General features: G+C 39.2%; 1 long non-coding RNA gene across 3 annotated transcripts in view; it reads right to left on the reverse strand.

Moving 5' to 3' along the window:
* LOC105378178 (uncharacterized) overlaps nucleotides 1-12,826 on the reverse strand; it is an 894,025-nt gene that overhangs the window by 654,980 nt on the left and 226,219 nt on the right. Inside the window, exons 5-6 of one of the 3 annotated variants that reach the window (XR_943837.3) lie at nucleotides 8,885-8,972; nucleotides 588-7,879 (exon numbers count right to left, since the gene is read on the reverse strand). The exons of 1 other annotated variant lie outside the window; for it this stretch is intronic. This is a non-coding gene — a long non-coding RNA (uncharacterized LOC105378178). Of the gene's footprint in view, nucleotides 1-587; nucleotides 8,973-12,826 lie in introns of those variants that run through there. One more of the 3 variants, XR_007064153.1, reaches the window with a different exon arrangement.

Below are 12,826 nucleotides of genomic sequence, written 5' to 3' on the forward strand. Positions count from 1 at the left end.
GCTGAAGCCCACGTGGCTTGTAGTCAGCAGAAATAGTTAATCAGATTTCATCATCTTTATTGTACCATTGAGATTCATTCGCCTTGAATAAGAGCAGCAGGAAAACACATCCTCCAAATGTGTTCATTTTCTCCATATCCCTCTAATATTTGCAGTAGGTCGTGGAAAAACATTCAACTAGAAAATAGGAAACCAAGCTCTTAGTCCTAGTTTCATCACTAATTGGTTATGTGGTCTTAGATAATTCATTCACTGTGTATTTATTACCTATTGCAAGTCAGGTACCGTATCAAGCTCTGGGTGTGAGACAACGCACAAGGGAGTCACCACGGAACTAATGAAATGAATAAGTAAACAACCACTGCAATATAGTATCCAGACAACTGAGTGGTGACTGTAGTGAATGTAGAGTATCAAACAAGATGACACAACACTGTACCTCTGTGAAGTCAGGAGAGGTGCCACGGAGGAAACGATGATGAATCTTACAAGTTAAAGACACGTTGAGTCGAGGTAAACCCTCACCTCTCTGACATAGCTTCTGTGAGAATAAAATAAGGAGGGTTGCCAGAGCATCCCTCAGATCCCCTTGTCCATTATAGTATAATATGTGATCCAATTTTTCTGTAATAGAAACAGAGCTGAAGAAATGCTTGAAATGCTATCCATAAAAAGGGAGAAATTCTGTGCTTAAATTGCAGGATGAAAAGGAGCGGAAAAAAAGGTAGTGTTCAAAAACAAGAGAGAGACAAAACACAAGTGAGAGCACATTTTCTAGGGCATAAAGGATTTTTGTTTATTTTTTAACATAATACACCAAAAAATAAATACAATTATCCCAATTTCTGCCCACAGTTTTCAGCATTGTACAGCCTTTATTTAATGATACATCAAAACACATTCTCTGCCAATCCTTCTGTTGCTTAGGAACAGGCAGTCAAGAGCCTAAGCTCAGAGACTCCAAAGTCATCATTAAAAGGCTTTGTGCATTGCTATCAGAAAAATGCTAATTTAGTAAGCCTGATTGATACCCTCCTGCTAGCAAGTTCCAGGAATGGGGACCCAGGTCCCTCTAATTTGTCTAGTTCCCCTTTATTTGGCTCAGTGGGGCCTGTGTAAAAAAAAAAAAATAATGAAGGACTGCCAGCCAGTGACTAGGAGCATTTTATTTCTGAAGAGTTGGTTCTTCTTGTTCAACACACTCCATGTTCTTCTTGAACCAAGATGGGAAACTTATTTACCTGCTGTTTGTATTTACTGAGTGTTTTCTGCTCTGCAAAGTCAGACTATTTCTAACTGTATAGTCTGTATTCCACATCCTTTTCAGTCACTTCTTGGTTTAATCATGCTTGACTTGTGCTTAAAGAGAAAAAGGAAACTTCTTTCGTTGGCACGAGCAGTATGACAGGTATTAGGAAAGCCAACTGCCCCTGAGTGCTCCGCAGCTGTGAAATGGCTGGAACCCTGAGCTCCTGATCCATGCTTTTCTCTGATTCGCATCCATGGAATCCAGCCACAGTTACCCCTACTTTTGGCCCTCCTTGCCTTGACCTAGGGATGATGCTGCTCCGCATTGTTGGTCACCGCAGAACTGCTGTACCCCTGCTGCCACTGCGGGAGTCGCCTCTTCCAGCCATTGTCTTCTCCATTATGGCTGTTTACTACCATTGCTGCAACCTGGCCCTGAGCTGAAGGTGCTGATTCCTCTTTGCTGGCTCTGTGATGGGTATGAAGACAAAGCTCCACCTCCCATGGCTGGTTGTTTACCTCTCTCCCATTTCAAACGCTGCCTCCTCCTCCCTTCCACTCTCAAAGCAGAAACTGTAAGGAGATGAGACTGCTCTCTTTCACTAAAGGAGAGGGCTCTTCTACTGTCCTCAGAAAACTGGCATCTCTCTTCTCCACCTTCATACAGATAGTGGTGTTTATGCTCCAGGCATGCTTTTAAACACACTAAGTCAGTCCTTTATTGAAGCAGCTGTGAGAATGCTCCTTGTAGACCTCTACAGAAAATGTAATTGGCCTAGAGCCCCAGCTGCTGCACTCTGAAATCCATCACCGTATGTATAGTGAGATCATACTTCCTGAGCTGTTGCCAGTGGATGACTGAAGTGATAGGGATACTAAGGCAGGCCTACTCCTGGGAGACCTGGGACTTCTCTAATAGGCAATTTTGGATTCAGAGATACCCCAAAGGCCTTGTTCGACATTCCTTAGGTCACCTATCTGTGATGCCTCCACCCAATTTGCCTGCCCGTGGTGCGCCACGGTCTGTCAGCTCCCCTGCCGCCCCTAGATTCCTGCGCCTTTTCTCTAACAGGTGATTACTCTAATATAACCCAGTCACATTGAATCCTGGCTTGTAGTCTGCTTCTTAAAGGACCCAAATTAACCCACCCCTTCACCAGATTTATTTGACTGGGTCTGCATGTTTGTAGCCTCCTGTATATTTGAGGCCCTTACTGTGACTACTCACTGGCATTTTCACTTGTGAATTCCTTCTGACGTCTTTACCCCACGACACTTGAGTGCTTTCTGCATGACTGTACTGTGAAGTAGTTGGCCACTGGTAAACCATCTCTAGCTTCACATTAACAGACCCAGAGATGCTCTATCTGCCTCTAAAACACACAGTGGCTGTCCCATGAGCACTCACTTCTCCGAATGTATGCCTCCAGCAGTGCAGGGCATTATGGCCCTTCTGAATAAGTCCAGCAATTGCCTATACAGGCTTTAGGAGCCTGATCTTGAGTGCTGTGGATCTGAGAAGACTATTCCAATCCTAAGCAGTTCCAAGAGGATTTTCCCTGACCCTCCAGCCCTCTTCTGCCACAAAATGGTAGGTCTCCTCTCAAATGTATTTGTGTTTAAGACAAGCTTAAGTGGGTTAGAGAGCGCTCAAGGAGATCACAGATCAAACAAGCTCTCTGAGTTCTGCCCTAGAAGGTACTGAAAACCTGAGTGGCCTGAAATCAATCCAGCTTTGAATGATACTCTAAGTCCAATGTGCTCCAGAAAGAAACCAGATCTTAAATGCACATTACTGATTAGCTGTGAACTAAGCTTGCTTATAGGGTAGAAAATAGTAAAGGTGGGGAATAGAGGAGATACAGGAGTGACTCCAGCCATTTCTTCTATCAATATTGGAGTTCCACGTGGTATGTATGAGTGTGTATGTGTGTTCTGGCAAGAAAATCTCAGATACAAAAGATGGCTTATAATGTGGGGATCCTTGCTTAAGTTAGAAACTCTCTCTATATTTGCAGATGAAAGATGCATAACTACTAAATTTTTTCTTGAGGCCCCAGAAATGGGGCTTCTCTGCCTTAAGGTAGCTCATTAGTTCCTTACCAAGTCTATGTACTGGAACCCAAAGAGAATGCAAAAATGGACAGGCAAAATGTATTCCCCCTCCTCTTACGAATGAGAAAAGCAAGTTGTAGTAGAAAAATTCATGAAAATTCAAGAAAATGTAACTGTGATTGGACCTCAATAATGGTATGAAAACATATCTTTTACTCTAACAGGCTCTCTATTCATTCTAAAATGGACCAGAAAGCAGAAGGATTGCCCTTGTTTGAAAAATAATGCCCTTGTTTGAGGAGTCCAGGCCAAGTAACTTCATGCAGAAGGGAAGCTTCACCATTTGGACAGGAGCTGAGCAGATGTGACCTCAATGTCTGCACTGCATTAAAGCTTCGGTGTAAATCTGATGACCTCATCTCCCCACAGCCTGTGATTAATTCTATTTATAAAATACAGCTCAGCAGATCAAAGTTAATCCTTTCCATGCCAAGTGGGGAGTACACAGTGATGGGTCACTCTGTCAAAGGGTAGGAAACTAAATCAGGCTGCTGTTCTTCATCACGGAGTAGGATACAGGGCTTTTACCTTCAAGAGGAAAGGTTTAATGACTTTGAAGAACTTGTAATGCCCATTTCTTGATACCCTTAAATTCTATTTCAATTTTTTACTATCTTCAAAAAATATAAAATTCCTCAAATATCAGACTCATATTTTTATTTGTTGCACCATACAGCTTCCAATACCTCACCAATACACACACACACACACACACACACACACACACACGTTTGTAGATCCCATGCCTTTGAAAGAACTCTACGAAAAGGTGAGAATGACCACTAAGAGCATCTGTACAGCATCTTAAGCGTATGGTTTCTGGAATCAGAATGCTTACGTTTTCATTCCAGGTATGCCACTTATCCAGCCAGAGGATCTTGGGTAAGTTACTTAGCCTCCCTTTGTCTCAGTTTCTTCATCTTTAAAATGGAGTTATAGTAGTCCCTGACTCACAGGGTTACTGAGAAGATCAAATAAGATAATACGTAAAGAACTCAGAACACCGCCTGGACCTTGGTAAATCTACATGTGACAGCCGTAGCCTGACCCCACGCCAAGCTCAGGAGCATGACATGTACCACAGAGTGTTCCTCTGAACTAGTTCGCATTTTTAACTGACATGGAGATCCAAAAAACCAGTCCTCTTATATCCTCATGTGAGTTAAAAATCCCTAACACTTTGGAACACATTCCCCCACCTTGCCCACCAACCCCATGACAGAGGTAAACTGCCATTCGGCTTGGGGCAAAAATGCCATATTCCCACTGTGTATACATTGTGAGAGGAAAAATAGCAAGTTCAAACCTTTTCTGCCCCTTAGCATGGTTCTGTTTGACTAGTCCCCCTAATTTTCATTTACAGTTAGGTCTCAGTATGGTTAATATCAGGTCTCTGTAGCATTAGGCCTCTGCAATGTTAATACTGTTTAACGAAATGATTCTCATGAGTACCTTGCAAACTGAATGCTGATTTGAGGATTCTAATTTCCCAGTGTGTAAATGAGGTCATATTAACAGAAATAGCTCAAATTTCACTGGGTCATGATTCTACTTGTCCTGAACACTCTCAGCTCCTTACCACCTCCCATGACCAAGGACTCCAAAAATCTACAGTGGGTAAGTCACATGTGCTCTCAGTAAATCTGTCCCTCTGGGCACTAAACCTCCACTGCAAGGTTCCTCTAGAGTTCCCACCATGATTTTCCCCAGTGCTCTGCCCATGCTCTGGGCCTTTGCTGTGGCCCAGATGTTTTAATTCTTTTTAAAGACTAAAATAGTACTTTTAATTTCACTCACAGTGCTTGTGCTGTGTCAGGATTCAGACATGAGTCCAGTGAGGGGTCAGGGCAGAACCAGAATCCAAAGGATAGGCATGATTGTGTAGGCACAAATGCCTCACTTCTGCAGTGACTGAGGTTTTCATATTGAGTCTGAGATGGATATTTCCTGGGGGCAACTCAGTTTTCATGCTAATGCCTGGCTGGTGTTGAATTCAGCTTTGTATCCACAAACTAAATCTGATTTAAGCCAGAATCCTGAAGCTGCAAGAGCAAGAATCAATGACCAACACACTGGTCCATAAACAGAATCAGGTGTATCCTTTTCCTTAAGGAGGGAGTTACTAAATGCTTAAGAGTTAACCAAAGAATATAGCACTTTGTAGAAATCCTAATCAAAGCCTTTGGCTCAACAAAGCCTTGCCTGCTGCTTGTTATGAAACCATCTCATCCCCTCCACTAGAAAGAACCAAGCAACGTGTAAAACTTTTACTTCCCCTCATAAAAGTGTATAACAACATTCAACCACTTTTACACCTTTTCTTCCTAATACACGATATCCAAAATGAGTTCATAGGCAGAAAAATGCCATGAGGGGAGTTTGGCTTTTTTTTTACCGGCAAGCTTTTTGGATGTGACAGCCTAGAGCCTTTCTCACTACCACCAACAGATGGGACACAATATCCACCAATGAGCCATTATGGTCTTTGGTTGTTATTTTTCCTGTGGTTCAGCTGGAACACATTCAGAAAAATAATACACATTTCTGGGGCAGGTTTGCATTATAATTTTGGAGTGTAATCCAGACTTTCCCTTGTCTATTTCCTACTGCAGCAAAAATGGAGCCTCTCTCTCTAGTTCCATTTGGACTTCACTGGGAGGATGCAACTTGGCAAAACACAGCGATACTGGGCTGCAAATGGTTTGTAAAAACATCAATGGTCCCACATGGGAGTCAGTACATCTACCATTCGAACTAGATTGCATTGGCTCTGTTGGGAGTAATATGGGTGCATGTATGCAGTTATCACTAAAAGGCTTTTCATACTGTGACAATCAGATCCTCTGGTGCTCAGATATTGCATTCATTTTCTAACTCATTCATCATGTGAATGGAATGAGGAAATAATGGGATCTGTTCATCATACTTATCCATCATTTAGTGAGGACACCACGTTCAGCTTTTTTGGATGAAAAAAGAAAGATAAGTAAGAGGCTTAGCACTCCTAACATCTGACAGTCCTAGCACCTCGTGAGGACAAACGTCACTCAGGAACCATATCACAACAGACAAGTCCTTGAGAAAGAGGGAAGATGATGAATCTAGCAGAGCCCACCAGGCAATTCTGGGCAGGCACACCTTCAAAACCCTCCTTCTTATTTTACCACATTCTCGATAAATCTTTTAGTTACATTAAAATATTCTCAACTAAATTAGAATAAAATTGTATATCTTTTGGCCTTGTAAATCCACTTTCAAGAATTTATTCTTAAAAAATCAGAAATGTACATAAATACAAATGTTCAAGAATGTTCATTCCTGTGATATTTTAAATAGTGAAAAATTGGAAATGACCTAAATTTCCAGGAAGTTTAGATTACTTAAATAGATTATAATAGAGCATGTATCATAAACAATATTTGTGAAGAACATTTAAATGGAGTATATGGAGAAATATGCAACTATATGAAGTGAAAAATCAAATTACAAAAAAATATATATTTTGCCAATTAAGTAAGAAAAAGTATTAGTAATTATTCTCTCTAGGTTAGGAATTTGAAATAATGATTTTTTTCTTTTCCATGTTTTTTGTGTCTCTTAATATTTCAATAATAAATACATGCGAAAAAAACCTAGAACAAATGACATTTTTAAGAATTCAAGAGTGAGAAAATAGCTTTCTGGCCTGCAATTATGTTGCCTTTGTTTTACAATATACAAGAAAATAAACAAGCAACTTTAGATTGGAAGAAATTACTAGCATTTGGGAAGCAGATACAAGCCAATAGCAGCCAAAACCACAAAATGACTGGGGAAAAATAGAGAGAGGGACTAAAGAATGTTCCTTACTGAAACATTTTTTGCTGCATTTTCTCCTAGAACATACTGCCTTCCACCATGGCAACATTCCAACACAGACAGTTCTACATGTAGTTTGCTATGTATTAACTGTTCATTCATTGTTTCATTTATTCTTTCTAGGTCCCTGTTACTTCTTGAGAGAATAGAAAGATCGTGGCAAACAGGATAGAATTATTTCTGCTTTTGTGGAATTTAAATTTTCTTTTAATTCTTGCAATCACCCCACAAGGTAAATTGCTTATTCCTCAGAGGAAGTTAAGACAGTTTATGTTACTTGCCATAGGTAGTCAAGAGAACTAGTATTCAACCCAGGTCCTCTGATTCCTTAAGACCAAGGTTCTTTTGACTATAGCAGAAGTTTTCAAATATTTTCAAAAAGTGACGTGCATTGTTTTAAATAAAGTTGTAATTGCCATATTTCACCAATTCTGATGAACACTTTTTCACATTTCACCTCACCTGAAAACAAGAAGCATTTATTATGGCTGTTGGCAAGGAAATTACAGAGATTAAATTCTGGTAGCCTGAATGTTTGCCTCCATTCTTGCAAAGATGGTATCAGTAGCTTGCAAGAAAATCCCAGAGGTAGTGGTGGAGTGCTCTTTCAGAAATACTGCCTTACTAATACTCTCAGTGGCATAGAGGATGATATTATCTGGAAAACATAGACATTGGATAGTCAGATTTCAGATATAAAACCTTAAGAAATTCATATTGTTTGCATGCCTAAACAAGACTAAAAGAGTGCTTTCAGTAAGTATAACATTTTTAAAAGCCCAAGTAATGAAAAATCATTGTAGCATGTTTATTTTGGCAGTTATTTTTCTCTTTCTTAATAATATAATAAAGATAGTACATCTTGCCTTCCATGGAATCATAGATTCAATGCAATGTGGCATATCTACAACACTTCGGGCTTGACTAATGAGGTGGAATTATACGCACCACCACCTTCACATCAGGCTCCAACTGGAATAGCTCTTCAGGGGGCTTGGCACCTCTCCTCTTTCTTGATGGGTAAAGATTAGCACTATCAGAACTTCACTGAAAACTTGATAATTGAAATCATGTTTTGGCAATGACTGAAATATGTCTAAGGGATTTGATATTGCATGAGCCACAGATTCTTGATACTCAGACCTCCTAAGTCCATTCCAAACTATGTCCAAATGAGATGGGGTGAAGTAAGATGTGCAAACTTTATAGGCACCAGTTGTAGAATCAGTTCTCTCTGGTTTCAAGTCTAAACTACCTATTTTTTTTGGCAATGTGACCTTGGATAAATTACTTAAACTTTCTATGCCTCTGTTTCCCCAACCATAAATATTAATAGCGCTAATCTCATAGGGCTTAGAATATTGAAAGAGAAAATCCCTGTCAAATACCAAAAAAAATAACAATATTTGTTAAGTATTCAACAAATATTGTGGGGGAGGGAATGAGCCTAAAATTATAGGTTTACCTTTGAGACTTTGCCTCCAATCTTCCAACAAAATATCATCTATAATCTGTTTTCACCAATGACAGATATTTATTGAGCACTTTTTCTGTGGGAGGCATCCTCTAGAAATTTATCATCTATTAGAGGGATGAAATACAGACGACAGAAAAACATCTACAAGACAGTATATTATAAGTGGTATGGAAAATGGCACTTTACAATTCTAGAAGAGGTGATATTGCTTCTAGCATGAGCAGAAAGACTTCACAGAGGCAGCAGGATTTGGAACTTCAGACCCAACACTAATCTGAAAAGAAAACAAATAAGGAGTCACTGGAGCTCTCTTTGTGAACACAAGTGACCTACTCAAGGTCATGTTTTAGTGAACATTCTTTGTAGATCAACAGGAATATAGATCAGGTCCTCTTTGGAGGAGAGTAAGGGAGAAAGGTGACATTTTCCTGTGGTCTTGTCAAGTGTATTTAGCAATAGGTCAGCTCAGAAGGGAAGCAAGATCTTCAACAACAAAGATTAAAAAGCTGTTAAAGGAGTGGGTGAGGCAAAAGGAAATAGTTATCCAGAAGAAGACTACTGAATTCAGACTGCAACAACAAAAGAAGTGAGATTCAGGTTACACTTACCAGTTGAGAGTTGAACAAATTAGATTAATATAGGCTGGGGAAGAATTTGCTAAATTTAAAATACTCTGACTATCTCAAGTTAGGTCAATGACTCTATGACAAACACAAGAGTAATTAATGTGTAACTTCAGGCTAAAAGGAGAAATTGAAAAGCTGAATTAAATAAAGCACATCAATAATAGTGAGATTCAAAAACCCACCATGGCCATTTGCTCCACGATTACCAAAGACCCTGAACAATGAAATCTCACGATAAAAGATGCATTCATCACAGAGTGGGAGAGAAATGATTCCAGGAATCTGCCTTAATTTTTATTACCACTATCATAAAACTGTTACAGGATTATTAATATTGATGTTTGTTCAGGGATTATGCATCACCATTTCATGGAAGCAGCTTAAGAGTTGCCTTCTGTGAAGCCCACCAAGCTGTTTACATAACCCTAAATGCATGGCAAGAGTTCAAATGGTAATTGTGATTTCAGACATAGTTTGTATTGGTCACTCTCTTAGTGTCTAATCACTACAGTTCATGAGAAACAACAAAAGAGAGGCAAGTGTTTGCAGTTCCCCCAGATGATCTACTTGGGCATTCAATTTCACAGATCAAATAGGTTACTGCAAACATATACAAAAGGGTTTATTAAGGCTATTAAACAACTGAAATTATATAGCTAAGAGACCCAAAATATGTGTTTAAACACTTTATGAGAGATAGAAAAATTAGGTCAGACACAGATGGGAATTACTTACGTTTACTCTTAACTCTTCTGAAAATCATCATTGACTGTCTTGGCTGCCACTCACCCCTTCTCCCTATTTCTAGCTCAGAACAACACATCTGTTGTTATTTCCTCTCATATTAATGTTTCTACATTTGGGGGTCAGCACTTCTAACAGGAGCACAAGAGAAATAGCATTCTGGGGAAAATAGCTAAGTAGCTAACTAGAAAGATTTGGGTCAGCTTGCATCTGAATTCTGAATGCAGCTACCTAAATGAAGGTAGGTCAGCCACAGAGGGCAGTGTGATCTATAGCCCCAACCTCTAGGGAATGAGTCAGAGTAGAGATGGTTTCACAGTTTATGGGGAAAATCCTAGGATCTCAGAAAACAAGTATCAGGATAATACTGCATATCTACCCATGGTGAAATTCTGCCAATTCAGGGAGTATATTCAGAGGCAGACAGGAACCTGAGAATGACTGGCCTCCATTAGCAAAAGAGAGCTTCATAACTGAATGATGACAGGATACGGGCTGGAGCCTAAAGGCTACATAAAACAAGGAGGCCTTCCTAGAAGTCAAGGTCATAGGACCATCTCTCAGGATTGATATTTATTGTCTTCAGGGGCTACACCATTCATCTAAATAGATGAAAGGGCCCCCAAATGGTTCTCAGCCTTTGCTGCACATTGAAGAACTTTAAATAATACTAATAATACTAATTCCTGGGTTCCACTCCTGAAGCTTCTAATGTGGGTGGTTGGAGATGCAGCCTGGGAATCTTTATATATGATTGCCCCCAGGTGATTCTGATATAGAGCTAAGGCTGAAATCCAGGAGCCTGGGGTGATATAACAGGGAAGGATGAACATGTGACTAACTAGGGAATATGTCCTGCTTAAAACTATTCAAATTCTTTTGTTTTTTAAACACCAAGCTGGCCATGTGAACATCTCCATTGTCTGGAGCCCAGAGTTTGTAAAGGGACCAAGAAAGACCCAATAAAAACTAATTCATCCGTAGAAAATGATGCTAATGAAATAAAGTGAATTACGGTAAAGATGAGGGGAACTATGACTTGCTAATGCTGAGCATCAACTTTGTGCCACACATCATCTCCTTTAATCTTCTAATCCTTAGAATGTCACCAGAACAACAATGCCTAGCACATAGGAAGCAGTCAACAAATATTTGTGAATAAATATTGTCCCATTTTACATATGGAGAACAAAGGCTCAGAGAGGTTAAATAATTTCTCCACCGTTACACAGTTAGTAGTGAAAGATCCAGGATTTGACTCCAAGTCTGTCAAATCTTACCACTTGGCTGTGCTGCCTTCATCTTTGAGAAGTCTGAATTATCCAACATCTCAGAGAGAAACATAGTCTTAGGGACCTGGTAAGGTATTTGTCCTAGATACAAGTTGTGGTTGAGATACATAGCAGCACTGACTCTCACTTTCCAGAAACAACTTGATTACTAATTTGAAAAAGCGCAATAGACTCCACACCTAAAAGACTGGTTGAATCATTTTAACAAACTAATAATAACAATATTTACATGACATTCAAAGCAATTCCAAGAATTAACCAACTCTAAATAACTAGAGCATCTGCTACAGAAGATAAAATAGGATAGCAGATTTGGTATACCAGCAAACTCCCAGTAACATAAGCAATCAATGAAAGAGATGCATAAATGTGTAAAAGACTATCCATAATGGGGAGGGAGAAAAAAAACAGCCAATGTATGGTGTCAGCTACCAAGTCATATACAAAAAAAAATTGGAAAGGAGAAGGCTAACATAAACAACTAATGGCAACAGCACAAGCTGAATATAAATAAGTAGGCCTAAAGGTCAGGCCTTTAAGGGGCTTGAACTTTATTCAACACATGCTGTTTTCACTCCCTAGAATCCTCTCTTTTTTCTATCTGGAAAGGTAACTCATCTCTAAGGCATGGCTCTACTGTGAACAATTCTCCAACTCTTTTCAACAAAGCAAATAATTTTCTGACGTCTATTCTCACAATATTTTCTATATATCTCTAACAAAACTTACACAATTTGTGTCACAATTATATATGTATTAAATCTCCCTTTTGGCATGAGCTCTTTTAAAAAATGAGAGAGGCCATAATTTGTCTTTGTGTCCCCAAACCTTGGCATGGTGCGTGGCCCATGCTAGATGATAAATATTTGAAAGAATGTTTCTGCTGAAAGAAGCCTTTAGCTGCCTCTAACAGCCACGTGGGGAAACCTATTAACCTTTAAGTGATACTGGAAGTGTTACTATATTTGCCTATATAGTCAATCCCAAAAGCAAGCTGGTAAAGTTTAGTTCCAGCATAACTTCTAGGATATTAAATCTGGTCCTAAAGTTGCTTTCAAGAATACTCTATAAAAGCAGAGGTTTCCTGCAGCCATCAAAAACTATCAGTTAATATTTACAGGATCATAATACCATGGTTCTCCATAGCCAAAAGTAAACATTTACTGTTCTATAAACAAATTTTGCTTTAAGAAAAATTCACTTAAAGAAACATAGCCTCTAGTGTTTCAGACCAATTCAGTACTTTAGCTCTATTATGCAATAAATGTATAATGTTGACCCAAGAACACTCTGAAGATTTAAGAAGGTACATCAACTCATTAGGCCATGAAATCACAAATTTGTAGTCTATTATGTTGAAAAGAGTTAATGCTAATCACCCCTCCCCATCCAATCTCTTAAAAAAATAAAACCTTATAAAAGGGAAGATCTGTCTGTAAGAATTAAATTGCCTTGGAGAGCAGCAT

Source organism: Homo sapiens, chromosome 14 (assembly GCF_000001405.40).
Source record: "Homo sapiens chromosome 14, GRCh38.p14 Primary Assembly".
Taxonomy (NCBI): Eukaryota; Metazoa; Chordata; class Mammalia; order Primates; family Hominidae; genus Homo; species Homo sapiens.